Source organism: Homo sapiens, chromosome 4, assembly GCF_000001405.40.
Source record: "Homo sapiens chromosome 4, GRCh38.p14 Primary Assembly".
NCBI classification, from domain to species: Eukaryota; Metazoa; Chordata; class Mammalia; order Primates; family Hominidae; genus Homo; species Homo sapiens.
The window spans coordinates 62,716,673-62,738,265 of NC_000004.12; the positions used below are offsets into that span (position 1 = coordinate 62,716,673).

Genomic DNA, 21,593 nt, shown 5'->3' on the forward strand with positions numbered 1-21,593 from the left:
ACCATATATTAAGCCACAAAACAAATCTTTTTTAAATTGAAATCTTATCAAGTATATTTTCCATTTATAATGGAATAATACTATAAATCAATAGCAGGAGGAACTTTGGAAACTGCACAAATACATGGGAATTAAACAAAATGTTCATGAGCAACCAATGGGTCAATGAAGTAATTTTTTATTAATTTTGTTTCTTTGGAAAAATGGAAATGAAAACACAACATACCCAAACCTATGGGATACAGCAACAGCAGTTCTAAGAATGAAGTTTATAGCAATAAACACCTATATAAAAAAGCTAAAAAGATCAAATAAATTAATGTTAGACTTCAAGAAACTAGAAAAACAAGAACAACCCAGACCCCAAATAATTAGAAAAGAGGGACTATAAAGACCAGAAAGACCAGACCATAAATAAACAAAATAGGGACTAACAAAATACAAAAGAGCAACAAAATAAGATGATTTTTTAATTTACTAACAAAATACAAAAGAGCAACAAAATAAGATGATTTTTTAATTTAAATGTCTGGCATCTTGATGATTTTGCTTTCTATCTTTCTCTGTCTCCATCTGCCACTCTCTGCCTTTTTGTCTTTGTCTTCCTCTCTTTTTGTCTCTCCACATGACAGCTCACCCTTTACGATCCTTTCCATGAACCTGAACTTTGAACTTTTTACAGCATAGTGGTGTTAGGGTAATTGCACTTCATAAAATTGAACAGCTTTGATGTATCAGGTAGCAAAAGCTTCCAGGCTACTTAATGTCGACCCCTGAAACTGACACAGCATCAATTCTGTTGTATTTTATTGGTCAGTGCAGTCACAGGACCTACCAGGTTAAAAGTGTTGGAGAAATAGATTCTGTCTCTTAATGAGTGGGTGATAAGGTCACATTACAGAAAACTTGTTTCATAAGAGACAAAATTGTGACCTTCTTTTGAAAATGCAATTTTTCACAATTATTATACTTTAATATAGCTCAAATAATTCAGGTAAAGAATTATAATAAACAACTTAATTTATTAATATAATTATTCTCAGAAAGTTAGAACTTTTTAAGCAAACTTTATGAAAATTGGCTGATATTCAATGTATTTTTTCTAAGTGTAATGTCAGCTGGGATATTAGTATAAAGTCAAATATTAGAATATAAATTAAACTACCTATAATATAGAATAGAAGAATCTATACATAGTAAATGTTAAAATATACAAAAATAGATGTATTAGTTATAAAAATAATCTCTTAAAAACAAAAAAGTATTAAATGATACTAACATTTCTGGTTTTTCCCAGTAACTAAAGAACTATTTTTTCAATTGTATGATTTCATTGAATTTTTAAAAAGAATTGATGAGTTAATGTGAATAGTTAAAAAGCAGAATCCAGGCCGGGCGCGGTGGCTCACGCCTGTAACCCCAGCACTTTGGGAGGCCAAGGCAGGTGGATCATGAGGAGAGGAGATCGAGACCATACTGGCTAATATGGTGAAACCCCATCTCTATTAAAAAATACAAAAAATTAGCTGGGCGTGGTGGTGGGTGCCTGTAGTCCCAGCTACTTGGAAGGCTGAGGCAGGAAAATGGCGTGAACCCAGGAGGCGGAGCTTGCAGTGAGCTGAGATCGTGCCACTGCACTCCAGCCTGGGTGACACAGCAAGACTCCGTCTAAAAAATAAAAAATAAAGCAGAATCCACAACATATATCACATCATTATTGAAATAATTCTGTGAATGACATTTTATAGTGTTATTTAAATAACAATTAATTAGATTTACCTAATTTAAAAGAATAGTTGACTGCTTTTATGGTTGAAAAATGCTCTTTTTATGCTAAATGTTTATTATTCTTCAAGATGTAGTCATAATAGTAGATATAGGATTTATTTTCCTGCATTTAGAGTTAAGTTTTCTATATTTAACCTCCTTTTTTTCAGTTCTGTAATACATGAATATTATTGCAGCATTATTGTTGTGTTTCACTTTGTCATTGATCTTGGTCATAATATATCATCATACTGTAGAGTTGCAGCAGTTGATTAATATTGCAGGGCTACTTAATTTCTTATGTGCCCAGTAAAACTCTTTTATGTTCAGGGTTTTATCAATGCGGTTATTCAATAATGGTTCCATTTAAGATTTATTCAGGTTAGTAAAATATGTTATATGCCATTATTGAAAAAATTCACTTACCTGAAATACAATAGCAGAGTAAGCAAACAAACATTAAAAATCAAATCTTTAAAATCTTACTCGAAATGGTCCTAAAAAACAGTGAAAACGAGATAAATTTAAATTCCTTTTTTAGGCTCTGCTGTGTTCCAGGTAATTCACCAAGGGAATGTGGTGATTTAATTGTCTGTATGACACAGCATGAGATCCTCTGAAGTTGGCTCTATGGTATCTTGCTTCTTTTTCACACAAATACACACTTTCTTTGGATACTCAGCATGATATTCAGTAAGCATAGATATGAGAGACTAACAAAGAAGAAATGTTGTTATTTATTATTCAGTACTCTCCTTGGGTCCCTTGCCACTTGGAGTTAACATACATTCATATAAAATATTAATACTCAAAGGTTCATTCCAGGTAAAGCCAAATCAGACAATGTGCATATGTCAGGAAAAACAAGATTAAAACCTGGAACTTTTATCAATTTAAATTCTTTTATCAAAATGTGTCTAAACAATAGGCTACATAGGACAATTCCTATGTACCTTGAAACGACATGAGAATTCATCTGCTGAAATCTTTTACGGTCAATTCTCAAATTTAGATAGGTACATTTATTCACATTCTTAAAATTTCTTCAGTAAAGCAAATATTCTTGATTGTTACTTGTTTGCTTTGTTAGTATTTCTTCACTCTTTATTTACATACATGTAGCATAGACCCTAAAAGCAAACGGGGGGGAAAACAAACAGTACTAACCCCAGTGTTTCATCAAAAAATGTAAGAAAGCCAGAGTTCTATACGTATGTGCCTGAGAGAGCACTGTTTGGTCTTCACATGCCTATTTTTAATTATTACGAGAGGTAGAGGGTCTGTATTTTGATGTAAAATTTTTTGTTTTCATTGTGTCAAAAGACAAAATTAACACAAATTTAATTTAAAGAATCAATTGGCTTTTATTTGCAACTGTAGAATCAGACAACACCTCATGATTCAATTATCTTCCACCAGGTCCCTCCCACAACACATGCAAATTATGGGAATACACAATGAGATTTGGGTGGGGACACAGAGCCAAACCATATCAGTAAATAACAGTTATAATCAACATGTTTATCTTTGCTTATAATTATGCATTTATCAAATATATGTAGAATGAATGCAAAAAATTGACTACATTTTCACCTGATTTTCAGTAATAAGAATATCAATGATAAGACTTTCTACATCAAGTAATGGGTTGCAAAAGCACAGCAACAAAAACAATGATGACAAAAGCTGAAAAATTTAATTCCTTGACCTTACCTATTTTTATTTAGTATGCTAAACTTGAAACAGTCTGACTTTATTTTTTCTTCTACTATTTTCCATCCTCCACGTTTGCTACATTCCAACTGAACTTCTTGGCAGTATTGCATGTAAATAGAATATTTTGCTCTGTGTGTCCAAGTCCTACCTCTTTTTAAGCTTTAAAACAAGTTATCTTGAGACACCTTTTTGGAATACACTCCTGCCAATAAAAATATCTTCCTCTTCTGAACTTTCAGTGTTCTTTTTTGGGATATGACTTTTATGCACTTATAACTTTACCATTTTACGGATGTTTGTATTTGCATGAGAGAATGTACACAAGAAGTTTAATAAAACTTATAAGCACTCAATGAATTATAACTTTAAAAAGCACATGCATGTTTGTGTTTCTTCCATACTACTGTGTCAAATTTCTAGAGGCAGAAGTTTTATATTCCATAGCACCTGTTACATTGCCTTATATAATCATAAGTAAGACACAAAAATGATTGATTTGTTTGCATTTAATAGTAATACACAGCAATGTACCATATTTTAAAATAGGATATTTTATTAATATTTATTATAAAATACATTTTGTAGTAAGGTGAACATGGAAAAACTATATTATTAGCTGTTTTTCAAAATAATGGGCTAAAAGGTATAATGGAACTTTGGAAGTAAATCATAGGATAAATCAATAAATGTTTTCTTTCATCTCTGGCTTACACTGATTTATCATTGCTCCTTTATAACCTGTAGCAGCACTAAAAGTTAATTATTTTCAATTGTTAAAAAAAATTAACTTGGGCTTTTAAAAAAATTACTTCCCTTAAGGTACCCTGTTCCATTACATTACTAATAGTACATATATATAAAGAGTATAATGGCTCCCAAGAAGTGATTTTGTAAACATGGCTTAATAGTAGGTTTTGTACAACATTTTTAAAATTTATTTACTTTTTATTGACCTTTTACCTTTAGTGAGAACAATGCTTTCTGCTATTTTAGACTGTTATAATATTCTACTCTTTTGATCATTACCTCTTGGATTTTGCCATCATTTAAAGTCCAAAATTCATTAGGTAAAAAATATGGTAACTCTGCATATGTGTGTGTGTGTGTTTGTGTGTATGTGTGTGTGTGTATAATTTATTTTGACCTTTCTCACATTTATATCAACACTTCCACTAACAACTATCTCTATATTCACATTCTAAGTAGCAAGTTTGCTACCTTATCTTCTACTAGACCTCACCCAACTCACCGATATTAACCTAGATAGCACTTTAAAATGGGCACTTTTTCACTGTTTCTCTCTGCTGATAAATTTTGCCCATTTGGCTTTTAGATCACTTTTTCCAAAATCCTAGATTTTATATTTTTCTCTATAATGTTACTATTAAGGGATTTTAAATTGTTTCTATAGTTGTTGTTTTTTAATATTACCTCTAAAGGAGGAAAATGACAGAAACTGATTATTTTCCTGCTAGGCCAATCTTTATTTTCTGATTCAACTAGTTATTTCTTAAGACTCATATACTTTTGAACAAATGTATTAGTATTTTTGATATTCACATTTTTTGGTTCACAGTTATTCCATTCCTCTTAATTATTCCATTCCTCTTTAATTATTCTACTTTATAACATTCTTATATCTCTCAGTGCTCTTACATAATTTAATTTATACTTCTGTAGATCCCTATGCATCATTCCATTTTTTTCCAATATTTGTTTGATTATTTTTGCCCCTTATCCGCAATTTCCTTTCTTTTTTTTTTTTTTTTTTCCTTGACATGGAGTCTCGCTCTGTCGCCCAGGCTGGAGTGCAGTGGCGCGATCTGGGCTCACTGCAAGCTCCGCCTCCCGGTTCACGCCATTCTCCTGCCTCAGCCTCCCAAGTAGCTGGGACTACAGGCACCTGCCACCACGCCCAGCTAATTTTTTGTATTTTTTAGTAGTGACGGGGTTTCTCATTGTTAGCCAGGATGGTCTCGATTTCCTGACCTCGTGATCCGCCTGCCTCAGCCTCCCAGAGTGCTAGGATTACAGGCGTGAGCCACTGCACCCAACCTATTTCCTCTTATTCTTGTATTTTCTTTTGCTCACTTTTGTACCTGAAATAGTCAGTCAATTAAAATATGTCAAGCTGTCAAAGTTAGTTTCCTTCTGCTAGCGAAATATGCCAAGTTTCCTTCTTTACAAAATTACTAACAATTATTCTTTGCAAGTATAGCATTCACTCTGTGTTCAAGAGTAGGCTTCTGTGAACGAAATGCAGTCTATTGACATCCTTACTCTGGTAGATCCTGAGATGCTGCATTGCTGTGGTAGAGTAACACAATCATGCCATAGTAAATATGTTTCTAAAAAGATCAGCATCTTATTCACAATAAAAGTTTGATTTTTTAGTGCAAGTCTGCATTAAGGATCCTAATGATTAAATTGACTTTTCTAATAAATAACAGAAACTATTATAATTTCTTGTAAAAAATTTCTATAAAAAATATCACCACACACATGTTGTAAGCACTCAAATATAAATGCCTACTGATAATCAAATTTATGTTCCTGAAGTCATGAGAAAGATATGTATCATAAATATTAACTCAATTATTCAGTTGCTGATTTAATAGGAATTCCTTCTTCTCATATAGCTTCCATTTTTACATAAAAGATGAAAACAAACAAACGAATTACTACATACGTAAGTAAAATGTGTAGTGGGCCAAATGGTTGTAAAATGTGGAGAAATATAAGGCAAGGGAGGTGAAGTATGAAACTTTAGCAATACAGATCAGGGCAATGGCCCTTTACAGTTGTAAATAGGGTATTCATTGATAATGTGAAGCTGCCTCAAAGACTTAGAGAAAGTTAAGGAGAAAAGGAATAACTTTGGAAATAATGTTTGGGGAAGAGAAATGAAGTGGAAAGCCCAAAAATGGAATTATGTGTTCAACAAACAGCAAGAAGGTCATTATATGAAGAGTAGAATGTGGAAAATAAAGTCAGCAAGGTAATTCTGACCACATAAGGTAAATCCTTGCACATGCCTGTGGGTATTTCTAGCTTAACTCAAGTGGAAGTTGGAGGCACTGCAGGCTTTCTGTAAGAGAATGAACATAATTTAACTTTATTTGTTTCAAAATTATATATATACACACACACGTCTAACACAGACACACACACACACACACACACACAGAAAAAAATACATGAGATATAAGTGCTACATTGTAGAACAAATACCTGTGTAAACACAGGAGAATTTTGCAAGCTCTCCCCAGTTATCGATGGCCTTTGAAATCAAAATCTCCTTTCTACCCCTAGAGTAACCATCATCTTGACTCTTAATGTAATCACCTCATTGCTTTATAGTTATATCAAATAAATATGTATATCTAAGCAATATTAATTATTTGTTCTTGTTTTAAAATGTTTATCAGTGGGAATTAAACTCTGTGTTGTTTGATGCAAATTTCTTTAACTCAAAATTTGATTTTTAAGATGCTTCCTATCCCTGCTATGATGCAGTTATATGTAGGTGTAATTTGTTCATTTTCATTGCTCTGTAAAATGCATCTTATATTTATCTTTTCTAATATTATGAATATTTTCAATGTTTCTAGCTTGAGGGTCATATGAACTATGCTGCTGTCCACATTTTTGTATATGAATTCTGGTTTAAACATCATGTTTCTGCTGGTTAACACCCGGGGGTAGAATTAAAGACTCATAGCACTTGTGTAGTTGCACATTTATTAGATTTGATAAACTGTTTCTCAAAGTGATTTTTAATCACTTTCTCATTAGCATTAAATAACAGATACATTTGGTCCAAATTTTCTAAAACACTTGGTATTATCAGGCTTCCTTTCGTTCTCTCTTTTCTTCTTCCTTTGTTTCTTTCTTTCTCTTTTTTATGTGTGTGTCAGTTTGGAGAGGAGCTTTTAGTTTAATTTGCTTTTTTTAATATGTGTGTCATTTTGGAGAGGAGAGTTTAGTTTAATTGACATTTTCCTGGTTACTAATGAGGCCGACTACTACTTTCTACTTGTTAATTAAATTTGTTCTTTATTAAAATTAATATTGCTTAGCAAATTTTCTATTGAGTAGTCTGACTTCTTGGACACTAATAGGAGTTCTTTATTTACATAAATATATTGCAAGTATATATATCTATATAACTATATATATGTATATATGTTGCAAGTATATTCGCTCAGTCTGAACCTTGCCTTTTCACATTTTTTGCTTTCTTTAAATTCAGCCAAGATGGACTTTTCATATTCTAATGTGATTTTTTAAATAAATATATCATAAAGATCCTCTCCTATCTTATCTTCTAGGATCTTTACTATACTTTGCTTTTTATATTTAGAAATCTAAATAATAATATTTTTGAAGGCCACTGATTTATCCTAGTATCATATACTGAAAAGATGATTATATCATCAATTTTCAAAACTATCTCTTACATATATGAAGCATTCATATATGCTTAAATATAGACCTATTTCTGAACTTTCTGTTTTGTTTCCTATTCTATTTAGTTTTCTCCAACACCCAGTGTTTGTATCAGTTTCTAACCGTTGACATTACAGACAACTACACACTCAGTTGTTGAAAACACCACAAATGTATTATCGTATATTTCTGTAGATCAGAAGTCTGATGCCAGTCTCACTGGGCTAAAATAAACGTGTTGGCAGCCTGCCTTCCCTTCTGGGGTCTCTAGAAGAGAATCAATTGTCTTGTTTACGTTGTTGGTATATTTGTTTCTTGTTGTTATAGCACTGAGGGCTGTTCTGAGTTCCAGAGGCTCCCTGCATTGCTCTGCTCCATCTTTGTCAGCAATGTTAAGTCGAGACTTTCTCAGGCTTTGAATCTCTCCTGCTTCTTTTTCCAACGTCTCTCAGCAACTTTTCTTCCTTCCTCTTCCATTAGATTGGTCCCACCTAATCTGAATAATCTCCCTATTTTAAGGTTTCTAACCTTAATCAAATCTTGACAATCTATTTTACCATATAAAACAACATCTTCATAGAATATAGAGATATGATTAGTGAGGCCATTATTTCAGCTATCACATCGTCTACATTACTGTGTAACTTTGTAGTATGTCTAGAACCTAGTAGAGTTAGTTCATCCACTTGTTTTCTTCTTAGAAGTTTACCTACTCTTAAATTTTAGAATAAGCTTGCTTAATTCCACAAAAGTGGTTATTTTAATTGGGATTACATTGAATCTGTAGAGAAATTTCAGGATAATTGGTACTTTTACACTATTGAGACCTAATTATAAATTTTGTTTTCTCTTCACAATTATTTATATCTTTTTCAGGTTCTGAAGAGAGTTTCTTTAATTTATCTGAACAAAGTTGTCCGGTTTCCCTTAGAATGGCAGCCGTACCTTTTTGGCACCAGGGATTGGTTTCATGGAAAACAATTTTTCCACAGACCAGGTGAAGTGGGGGGTGGTTTTCGAGATAATTCAAGCACATTATATTTATTCTGCATTTCATTTCTATTATTATTCTATTGCAATATATAATGAAATAATTATACAATTTATCATAATGTAGAATCAGTGGGAAACTTGAGCTTATTTTCTTGCAACTATATGGTTCCATCTGGGGAAGATGAGGGACAGTGACAGATCATCAGGCATTAGATCCTCATATGGGGCAAGTAACCTAGATTCTTTGCATGTGCAGTTCACAATAGGGTTCATACTCCTATGAGAATCTCATGCCGCCACTGATCTGACAGGAGGCAGAGTTCAGGCACTAATGCAAGCTGTGGGGAGCAACTGTAAATACAAATGACACTTTGCTCCTTCACCCACTGCTCACCTCCTGCTGTGTGGCCTGGTTCCTAACAGGCCACGGACCAGTACCCATCTGTGGCCTGGGTTCCTAATAGGCCACAGACCAGTACTGGACTGTGGCGGGGGGCTGGGGAACCCTGACTTACAGAGATCATGTTTTCTTAGGTTTGTTCCTAAGGATTTCATATTTTTTATTCTATGCACAAAACATGGCTTTTTGTTGCTGTTGTTGTTGGTTTTTGAGATGGAGTCTTGCTCTGTTGCCCAGGATGGAGTGCAGTGGCACGATCTTGGCTCACTGCTACCTCCGCCTCCTGGGTTCAAGCAATTCTCCTGCCTCAGCCTCCCATGTAGCTGGAACTATAGGCATGTGCCACCATGCCCAGCTAATTTTTGTGTTTTTGGTAGAGACGGGGTTTCACCATGTTGGCCAGTCTGGTCTCAAACTCCTGACCTCAGGTGATCTGCCCACCTCGGCCTCCCAAAGTGTTAGGATTACAGGCGTAAGCCACTGCACCCAGCCTTTGTTTGCTTTTACAAATTGTATTTAGACTCTCTGACTTAATACTGGAGATTTATAATCTGTTACTGAGACTCACTCTGCTTCCAGTTGGAAAACCTCGCCTTTACAATCTAATCTCATAATGCTTTACCTAGCCTAACTTTGGCACTTTACTGCATTTTAGCGCTGGGTTAATGAGTTGATATCATTGCCTTGTATGAATTTTTGACCAAATTATATCTGTAGTTTCCTGAAATGAGTGATGCAGTATCTTTAGAGTGACATCGTCAGTAACAAGTTTATATACCAAAAGAATCTCATTCAAGGGCTATTATTTAATGACTAAATTATAAGTAAGAATATAAGTAAAGAAAAAACGTGACATTAGTGCTACCATTATTACCCCAAATGTAATGATGTCATTCACTTAAAATTTTATTGATATTCAAGTCCTTAATCATTACACTTTTTTTTTTTTAATTTTTTTTTTATTATACTCTAAGTTTTAGGGTACATGTGCACATTGTGCAGGTTAGTTACATATGTATACATGTGCCATGCTGGTGCGCTGCACCCACTAACGTGTCATCTAGCATTAGGTATATCTCCCAATGCTATCCCTCCCCCCTACCCCGACCCCACCACAGTCCCCAGAGTGTGATATTCCCCTTCCTGTGTCCATGTGATCTCATTGTTCAATTCCCACCTATGAGTGAGAATATGCGGTGTTTGGTTTTTTGTTCTTGCGATAGTTTACTGAGAATGATGGTTTCCAATTTCATCCATGTCCCTACAAAGGACATGAACTCATCATTTTTTATGGCTGCATAGTATTCCATGGTGTATATGTGCCACATTTTCTTAATCCAGTCTATCATTGTTGGACATTTGGGTTGGTTCCAAGTCTTTGCTATTGTGAATAGTGCCGCAATAAACATACGTGTGCATGTGTCTTTATAACAGCATGATTTATGGTCCTTTGGGTATATACCCAGTAATGGGATGGCTGGGTCAAATGGTATTTCTAGTTCTAGATCCCTGAGGAATCGCCACACTGACTTCCACAATGGTTGAACTAGTTTACAGTCCCACCAACAGTGTAAAAGTGTTCCTATTTCTCCACATCCTCTCCAGCACCTGTTGTTTCCTGACTTTTTAATGATTGCCATTCTAACTGGTGTGAGATGATATCTCATTGTGGTTTTGATTTGCATTTCCCTGATGGCCAGTGATGATGAGCATTTCTTCATGTGTTTTTTGGCTGCATAAATGTCTTCTTTTGAGAAGTGTCTGTTCATGTCCTTCGCCCACTTTTTGATGGGGTTGTTTGTTTTTTTCTTGTAAATTTGTTTGAGTTCATTGTAGATTCTGGATATTAGCCCTTTGTCAGATGAGTAGGTTGCGAAAATTTTCTCTCATTTTGTAGGTTGCCTGTTCACTCTGATGGTAGTTTCTTTTACTGTGCAGAAGCTCTTTAGTTTAATTAGATCCCATTTGTCAATTTTGGCTTTTGTTGCCATTGCTTTTGGTGTTTTGGACATGAAGTCCTTGCCCACGCCTGTGTCCTGAATGGTAATGCCTAGGTTTTCTTCTAGGGTTTTTATGGTTTTAGGTCTAACGTTTAAATCTTTAATCCATCTTGAATTCATTTTTGTATAAGGTGTAAGGAAGGGATCCAGTTTCAGCTTTCTACATATGGCTAGCCAGTTTTCCCAGCACGATTTGTTAAATAGGGAATCCTTTCCCCATTGCTTGTTTTTCTCAGGTTTGTCAAAGATCACATAGTTGTAGATATGCGGCATTATTTCTGAGGGCTCTGTTCTGTTCCATTGATCTATATCTCTGTTTTGGTACCAGTACCATGCTGTTTTGGTTACTGTAGCCTTGTAGTATAGTTTGAAGTCAGGTAGTGTGATGCCTCCAGCTTTGTTCTTTTGGCTTAGGATTGACTTGGCGATGCGGGCTCTTTTTTGGTTCCATATGAACTTTAAAGTAGTTTTTTCCAATTCTGTGAAGAAAGTCATTGGTAGCTTGATGGGGATGGCATTGAATCTGTAAATTACCTTGGGCAGTATGGCCATTTTCACGATATTGATTCTTCCTACCCATGAGCATGGAATGTTCTTCCATTTGTTTGTGTCCTCTTTTATTTCCTTGAGCAGTGGTTTGTAGTTCTCCTTGAAGAGGTCCTTCACATCCCTTGTAAGTTGGATTCCTAGGTATTTTATTCTCTTTGAAGCAATTGTGAATGGGAGTTCACTCATGATTTGGCTCTCTGTTTGTCTGTTGTTGGTGTATAAGAATGCTTGTGATTTTTGTACATTGATTTTGTATCCTGAGACTTTGCTGAAGTTGCTTATCAGCTTAAGGAGATTTTGGGCTGAGACGATGGGGTTTTCTAGATAAACAATCATGTCGTCTGCAAACAGGGACAATTTGACTTCCTCTTTTCCTAATTGAATACCCTTTATTTCCTTCTCCTGCCTAATTGCCCTGGCCAGAACTTCCAACACTATGTTGAAAAGGAGCGGTGAGAGAGGGCATCCCTGTCTTGTGCCAGTTTTCAAAGGGAATGCTTCCAGTTTTTGCCCATTCAGTATGATATTGGCTGTGGGTTTGTCATAGATAGCTCTTATTATTTTGAAATACGTCCCATCAATACCTAATTTATTGAGAGTTTTTAGCATGAAGGGTTGTTGAATTTTGTCAAAGGCTTTTTCTGCATCTATTGAGATAATCATGTGGTTTTTGTCATTGGCTCTGTTTATATGCTGGATTACATTTATTGATTTGCGTATATTGAACCAGCCTTGCATCCCAGGGATGAAGCCCACTTGATCATGGTGGATAAGCTTTTTGATGTGCTGCTGGATTCGGTTTGCCAGTATTTTATTGAGGATTTTTGCATCAATGTTCATCAAGGATATTGGTCTAAAATTCTCTTTTTTGGTTGTGTCTCTGCCTGGCTTTGGTATCAGAATGATGCTGGTCTCATAAAATGAGTTAGGGAGGATTCCCTCTTTTTCTATTGATTGGAATAGTTTCAGAAGGAATGGTACCAGCTCCTCCTTATACCTCTGGTAGAATTCAGCTGTGAATCCATCTGGTCCTGGACTCTTTTTGGTTGGTAAACTATTGATTATTGCCACAATTTCAGAGCCTGTTATTGGTCTATTCAGAGATTCAACTTCTTCCTGGTTTAGTCTTGGGAGAGTGTATGTGTCGAGAAATGTATCCATTTCTTCTAGATTTTCTAATTTATTTGCGTAGAGGTGTTTGTAGTATTCTCTGATGGTAGTTTGTATTTCTGTGGGATCGGTGGTGATATCCCCTTTATCATTTTTTATTGTGTCTATTTGATTCTTCTCTCTTTTTTTCTTTATTAGTCTTGCTACCGGACTATCAATTTTGTTGATCCTTTCAAAAAAACAGCTCCTGGATTCATTGATTTTTTGAAGGGTTTTTTTGTGTCTCTATTTCCTTCAGTTCTGCTCTGATTTTAGTTATTTCTTGCCTTCTGCTAGCTTTTGATTGTGTTTGCTCTTGCTTTTCTAGTTCTTTTAATTGTGATGTTAGGGTGTCAATCTTGGATCTTTCCTGCTTTCTCTTGTAGGCATTTAGTGCTATAAATTTCCCTCTACACACTGCTTTGAATGCGTCCCAGAGATTCTGGTATGTGGTGTCTTTGTTCTCGTTGGTTTCAAAGAACATCTTTATTTCTGCCTTCATTTCGTTATGTACCCAGTAGTCATTCAGGAGCAGGTTGTTCAGTTTCCATGTAGTTGAGCGGCTTTGAGTGAGATTCTTAATCCTGAGTTCTAGTTTGATTGCACTGTGGTCTGAGAGATAGTTTGTTATAATTTCTGTTCTTTTACATTTGCTGAGGAGAGCTTTACTTCCAAGTATGTGGTCAATTTTGGAATAGGTGTGGTGTGGTGCTGAAAAAAATGTATAATCTGTTGATTTGGGGTGGAGAGTTCTGTAGATGTCTATTAGGTCTGCTTGGTGCAGAGCTGAGTTCAATTCCTGGGTATCCTTGTTGACTTTCTGTCTCCTTGATCTGTCTAATGTTGACAGTGGGGTGTTAAAGTCTCCCATTATTAATGCGTGGGAGTCTAAGTCTCTTTGTAGGTCACTCAGGACTTGCTTTATGAATCTGGGTGCTCCTGTATTGGGTGCATAAATATTTAGGATAGTTAGCTCCTCTTGTTGAATTGATCCCTTTACCATTATGTAATGGCCTTCTTTGTCTCTTTTGATCTTTGTTGGTTTAAAGTCTGTTTTATCAGAGACTAGGATTGCAACCCCTGCCTTTTTTTGTTTTCCATTGGCTTGGTAGATCTTCCTCCATCCTTTTATTTTGAGCCTATGTGTGTCTCTGCACGTGAGATGGGTTTCCTGAATACAGCACACTGATGGGTCTTGACTCTTTATCCAACTTGCCAGTCTGTGTCTTTTAATTGCAGAATTTAGTCTATTTACATTTAAAGTTAATATTGTTATGTGTGAATTTGATCCTGTCATTATGATGTTAGCTGGTGATTTTGCTCATTAGTTGATGCAGTTTCTTCCTAGTCTCGATGGTCTTTACATTTTGGCATGATTTTGCAGCGGCTGGTACCGGTTGTTCCTTTCCATGTTTAGCGCTTCCTTCAGGAGCTCTTTTAGGGCAGGCCTGGTGGTGACAAAATCTCTCAGCATTTGCTTGTCTATAAAGTATTTTATTTCTCCTTCACTTATGAAGCTTAGTTTGGCTGGATATGAAATTCTGGGTTGAAAATTCTTTTCTTTAAGAATGTTGAATATTGGCCCCCACTCTCTTCTGGCTTCTAGGGTTTCTGCCGAGAGATCCGCTGTTAGTCTGATGGGCTTTCCTTTGAGGGTAACCCGACCTTTCTCTCTGGCTGCCCTTAACATTTTTTCCTTCATTTCAACTTTGGTGAATCTGACAATTATGTGTCTTGGAGTTGCTCTTCTCGAGGAGTATCTTTGTGGCGTTCTCTGTATTTCCTGAATCTGAACGTTGGCCTGCCTTGCTAGATTGGGGAAGTTCTCCTGGATAATATCCTGCAGAGTGTTTTCCAACTTGGTTCCATTCTCCACATCACTTTCAGGTACACCAATCAGACGTATATTTGGTCTTTTCACATAGTCCCATATTTCTTGGAGGCTTTGCTCATTTCTTTTTATTCTTTTTTCTCTAAACTTCCCTTCTCGCTTCATTTCATTCATTTCTTCTTCCATTGCTGATACCCTTTCTTCCAGTTGATCGCATCGGCTCCTGAGGCCTCTGCATTCTTCACGTAGTTCTCGAGCCTTGGTTTTCAGCTCCATCAGCTCCTTTAAGCACTTCTCTGTATTGGTTATTCTAGTTATACATTCTTCTAAATTTTTTTCAAAGTTTTCAACTTCTTTGTCTTTTGTTTGAATGTCCTCCTGTAGCTCAGAGTAATTTGATCGTCTGAAGCCTTCTTCTCTCAGCTCGTCAAAATCATTCTCCATCCAGCTTTGTTCTGTTGCTGGTGAGGAACTGCGTTCCTTTGGAGGAGAGAGGCGCTCTGCGTTTTAGAGTTTCCAGTTTTTCTGTTCTGTTTTTACCCCATCTTTGTGGTTTTATCTACTTTTTGTCTTTGATGATGGTGATGTACAGATGGGTTTCCGGTGTAGATGTCCTTTCTGGTTGTTAGTTTTCCTTCTAACAGACAGGACCCTCAGCTGCAGGTCTGTTGGAATACCCTGCCATGTGAGGTGTCAGTGTGCCCCTGCTGGGGGGTGCCTCCCAGTTAGGCTACTCGCGGGCCAGGGACCCACTTGAGGAGGCAGTCTGCCCGTTCTCAGATCTCCAGCTGCGTGCTGGGAGAACCACTGCTCTCTTCAAAGCTGTCAGACAGGGACACTTAAGTCTGCAGAGGTTACTGCTGTCTTTTTGTTTGTCTGTGCCCTGCCCCCAGAGGTGGAGCCTACAGAGGCAGGCAGGCCTCCTTGAGCTGTGGTGGGCTCCACCCAGTTGGAGCTTCCCAGCTGCTTTGTTTACCTAATCAAGCCTGGGCAATGGCGGGCGCCCCTCCCCCAGCCTCGTTGCCACCTTGCAGTTTGATCTCAGACTGCTGTGCTAGCAATCAGCGAGATTCCGTGGGCGTAGGACCCTCCGAGCCAGGTGTGGGATATAGTCTCGTGGTGCGCCGTTTCTTAAGCCGGTCTGAAAAGCGCAATATTCGGGTGGGAGTGACCCGATTTTCCAGGTGCGTCCGTCACCCCTTTCTTTGACTCGGAAAGGGAACTCCCTGACCCCTTGCGCTTCCCAGGTGAGGCAATGCCTCGCCCTGCTTCGGCTCGCGCACGGTGCGCACACACACTGGCCTGCGCCCACTGTCTGGCACTCCCTAGTGAGATGAACCCGGTACCTCAGATGGAAATGCAGAAATCACCCGTCTTCTGCGTCGCTCACGCTGGGAGCTGTAGACCAGAGCTGTTCCTATTCGGCCATCTTGGCTCCCCCCCTACACTTTTTTTTTTGAGATGGAGTCTCGCTCTGTCGCCCAGGCTGGAGTGAAGTGGCGCGATCTCGGCTCACTGCAAGCTCCGCCTCCTGGGTTCACGCCATTCTCCTGCCTCAGCCTTCCCAGTAGCTGCGACTACAGGTGCATGCCATCATGCTCGGCTATTTATTTATTTATTTATTTATTCATTTATTTATTTATTTTTGGTAGTTTTAGTAGAGACGGGGTTTCACCGTGTTAGCCAGGATGGTGTCAATCTCCTGACCTTGTGATCCACCTACCTCGGCCTCCCAAAGTGCTGGGATTATAGGCATGAGCCACCACACCCGGCCAACTTGTTTTTGTAATTAAGGACACTATCCAAATACTTTCAAAATATTCACAGTAAACACACTATAAAATCTAATTTCTTAAATTTGTAATTTAAGTTTCTAAAAATATATGGCTTCAACCAATTCACTCAATTTTCTTTCACCAACTTTTTCTTGTCCATAGATCTCTTCATGACACTCACAATGGGTATCTATGCAATTCTCTAATAATCTGAGCAAGTTCATGTTTATATCCTATTTTATTCTGCTCAGAATGCTGTAACAAAATATCTTAGACTGGATAATTTATAAACAACATAAATTTCTTGCTCATAATTCTGGAGGAGAGAAGTGTAAGATCAAGTCACCAACAGATTCTATGTCTGGTGTTGGCTTCCTCTCTGCATTTAAAAGGGCACATTCTAGTTGTGTCTTTATATGACAGAAGAGGAAAGGGAGCGTCCTCAGCCTCTTTTATAAGACCACTAATCTGATTCATGAAGGTGGGACTTAATCACTTCCCAAAGGTCGCACTTTGTAATATTATCACATCAGGTATTAGGTTCCAACATATAAATTTTAGGGGGATGCCAACATTTATATCACCAATATGCCTTTTCCATGTCATTTATTTTAGCTAAAATCCTTTACCTCATCCACCAAAATCACAAAGACTAATCAGTGCTTTAGGAAGTGCACCCTTCTCTATAATGCCTCTACTTATCTCTACAGTCAGAATTAAACAGTCCCTCTTTTTTTATCCCCTATAAACCTATTTTTTCTTTGGTTTATAAAAAATAATAGACTCTTAAGAACGACGTTTTTTCCTTATTCAACTTTTTATTCTCTGGGAACAGTGGCGGTGATTTGTGTATACTAGTCACTTACTTTATTTTTTTGTAAAATAAACTTGTTTGGTATGTTTAACTGAACTTAAGAAAGTGAGATGTCTGTATGGTTATTTCAGATTTCATTGTTCATAGTTATGTATAAGCTAGACACAGATCAACTCCTAAGTTATTCTCAATAAAACAAACTGTGCCTTTTATTCTCATTTCTTTGAACTTGAATTCTATCAGATTTCCGAGAACAAAGAGACAGAATCTGCCTATTCTGGGATTTCTATGAAACATTTGTTTTTCCAAGAAATATGTCCATGGCTTAGCTGAGGCTAATATTACCTCCAGACCAAAAAAATATATTGAGCCAGTTTGGAAGGGTCAGGGATAAAGAGGGGTGTAGTCACCCTAAAAGCAATATTTCATAAAAAATCCTAAATATACATGTCTTCAACAATTTTAAATGTTTCTCTTTCTGTACATTATGTAAATGCAAGACACATCCTAGTGAGACATCTTTTAAAATTAAAGGCATACATATCTGAAATACAGCATTATGTTGAAAAGAAATAAAATAAATTCTATGGAATCCAAGGAGAGTACCAGCCTTACATCTCTTAGATAAGTTAGAAAATTTGATGAATATGAATTTCTGAGTTTGAATATCTAAAACCCCCCCTGACTTTATATCTTTTGCTCTCAAATAGGCAGTTCTTGTCATGAAAATATTTCTAATATTTTATTTAACAAAAAAGTATTCTGAACAACCTTATGGATAAGAGATTGACATGTTAAACAGTATCCGCAAATATACACATGGAGAGACAAATAAGTCTCACAAAGCAATTCGTGAGTTAAGGGAAACACCTAGAAATACTTAGTGATGTTGTGTAAGTGGCTATTGTTAATGCTACTGGGGGATAAGTAACAATTCCAGATTAGACTAGTACTTCTTTTGTGTGTGGGACATTTTATTGTTCTGGTGTTTGCTTGTTTGTAAATGTTTAAATAGTGTCAATTTTCAACCTTTTTTAACACCTATTCTGGGTAATATTCGCAGCAGATCACTTATTTAAATCCTTAAGTTTAAAAGCAAAGATTACATTCATTCGAGAGCAAACATTTTTGAATGCATAGATATATCAAGCACTTTTTAAACTGTTTGGAATATATCAGTGAATAAAACAAAACAACAAAATAAATTTGATTACTTGGGACCTAGAGTCTAGAAATAAATTACAGATAGAAATAAGAAATATAATAAGTAGGTAAAATATATTGCATGTTAAAAGGAGATAGGTGCCATGAAAAAAAAATAGACCAAGTTAAGAGGGATGATGAATACTAAGGATAGGTATGGGTCAATAAATTTTAGAATTCAGGTAGGCATTGCTAAGGTAAGTTTGAACAAAAGCTTATAGGATGTGATGGAGTTGGTCATATAAATCAAAAGGGATAACATGGCATTACACAACTTGATATATGTAAACTATTTGAAGAAAATATATTGACTATATAGAGCAAGATTCTCATGTAAATATTTTGTATTTGCAGTCCACTTTTGAGAGTTTATTAAGAAAGTGGCTTGATACAATACTTTTGTATTTCCAGTCTAATAACTACACTTGAAGGTGGGTATTATTATTCCTGTTTAACAGGTGAGAAAATTAGTTTTATACAAATGAAAGATAGTTCAATGAGTCAAAACTAGTAAGTGGTATGGTTAACTTTCCAACAAATCCAAGTGTGTGTTGAGTGTTTTTAAAATTTTTGCAATCCTTTTATTATGCAAACTTTTTGTTATGCAAATCCAATTAATATAGCTTGTTCTGACTCTTAGTGCTAAGATTTTGCCAGGACAATTTGTAGTTTGTTTTCAGTAGTTTTAAAATTCCTTAGTGAGAAACTATTTAGTGGGATTTTTTTTCAAGTCATCCTGTATAGACACAAAGGCCTTGTTCTTTATTTTATCTTTATCTGTATGAATTAAAACATAACATAACTTCAAAACAAAACCCTATATTTAGGTCTCTTTTAACTTAGATAGGGAACATTATTAATGCCGTTGATCACATTAGTCATTTTGGCAATAGATTTGAAGTCAATTATCATGTCCCCTTCCCAATTGGCTATATTTATAGAAATAACAAGGTATTTCCAATTTGTACAATTAATCAGTCATCTATATAACACACAAGACTGTAGATCCTTTTAATGCATGTACCTAGAAAGCCACTTTCCTTCTCTTAACTTGTTCTTTATGCACTATATAATATTGTGTTTTACATGATTATGCTTTGATTCTATTTTGTCTTTGTATTTTAACTTAACCTGGGAAATAGCTATTTTGTACAACAATGGATAGGTAGTGATATACTTGAATTAAAATTGATTTTAACCAGTGAAACTCTAAGAATGAAATCATATTTCTATCTTTGAGACAATTCCATTTTGAACTATGAAATGCTGACTAATATTTTGTGTATTATTTGTCTAGGCAATGAAAAATTTCAATTTTAAGGATTTTTTATACATATAGTTAAACACATTCATTTAAGATAAATTGGATCACTGAGGGTTCTGGAGTAGTAGGAACGAAAAGGAAATTTGATCTGTCTTAAATGGTTTCATGATGGATTCAATGGCTGAAACGTTTTCAATTTTTTACAGGGTTTCTTAGACAGTGACAATGATAGATGACTACTTTGCCATACTGTTCTCTAAGTAACAAATGCTGCAAATTTAAATCCTTTTGTATGGTAAAGAAAAAAATGTTCAATTTTCCCTCATTTGTCACCCATTAATCTTTACTATTTATAATTTTATTAAAGGAAGCATTAGACTATCAATTCATATTTTCTAAGTGTCAAGTTACATCACTTTTGACAAATATATCATCATAAAAACGACCCTGAAGTACTGATTTCTCTTCATTATACTGTATTTGATGTTTCAAATAATACATTTTAAGTTACATTCAGGCTAATATCCCTGATGAACATCAATGAGAAAATCCTCAATAAAATACTGGCAAACTGAATCCAGCAGGACATCAAAAAGCTTATCCACCATGATCAGGTTGGCTTCATCCCTGGGATACAAGGCTGGTCCAATATAAGCAAATTAATAAATGTAATCCATCACATAAACAGAACCAATGACAAAAACCACATGATTATCTCAATAGATGCAGAAAAGACTTTCAATAAAATTCAACACCCCTTCAGGCTAAAAACTCTCAAGAAACAAGGTATCGATAGAACGTGTCTCCAAACAGTAAGAGCTATTTGTGACAAACCACAGCTAATATCATACTGAATGGGCAAAAGCTGGAAGCATTCCCTTTGAAAACTGGCACAAGACAAGATGCCCTCTCTCACCACTCCCATTCAACATAGTATTGGAAGTTCTGGCCAGGGCAATCAGGCAAGAGAAAGAATAAATGGTATTCAAACAGGAAGAGAGGAAGTTAAATTGTCTCTGCTTGCAGATGACATGATTGTATTATGTAGAAAACCCCATCGTCTCAGCCCAAAATCTCCTTAAGCTGATACGCAAATTCTTCAAAGTCTCAGGATACAAAATCAATGTGCAAAAATCACAAGCATTCCTATACACCAATAATATACAAGCAGAGAGCCAAATCATGAGTTAACTCCCATTCACAGTTGCTACAAAGAGAATAAAATACCTAAGAATACAATTTACAAGGGATATGAAGGACCTCTTCAAGAAGAACTACAAACCACTGCTAAAAGAAAGAAGACAGGACACAAACAAATGGAAAAACATTCCATGCTCATCAATAGGAAGAATAAATATCATGAAAATGGCCATACCGCCCAAAGTAATTTATAGATTCAATCCTATTCCCATCAAGCTAACATTGACTTTCTTCACAGACTTAGAAAAAACTACTTTAAATTTCATATGGAACGAAAAAAAAGTCCACATAGCCAAGACAATTCTAAGCAAAAAGAACAAAGCTGGAGGCATCATGCTACCTGACTTCAAACTATACTGCAAGGCTACAGTAACCAAAACAGTATAGTACTGGTACCAAAACAGAGATATAGACTATTGGAACAGAATAGAGGCCTCAAAAATAACACCACACATCTACAACCATCTGATCTTTGACAAACCT

The 21,593-nt window shown here is 35.9% G+C and overlaps 1 annotated feature.

The window, feature by feature from the left end:
* Positions 15,306–15,958: an enhancer, noted in NCBI's record as "NANOG-H3K27ac-H3K4me1 hESC enhancer chr4:63597696-63598348 (GRCh37/hg19 assembly coordinates)". NCBI's record gives its function as "activates a minimal SCP1, AML or CMV promoter by ChIP-STARR-seq in primed H9 embryonic stem cells {active_cell/tissue: H9 hESC(primed)}" and the evidence as "EXISTENCE:reporter gene assay evidence [ECO:0000049][PMID:30033119]".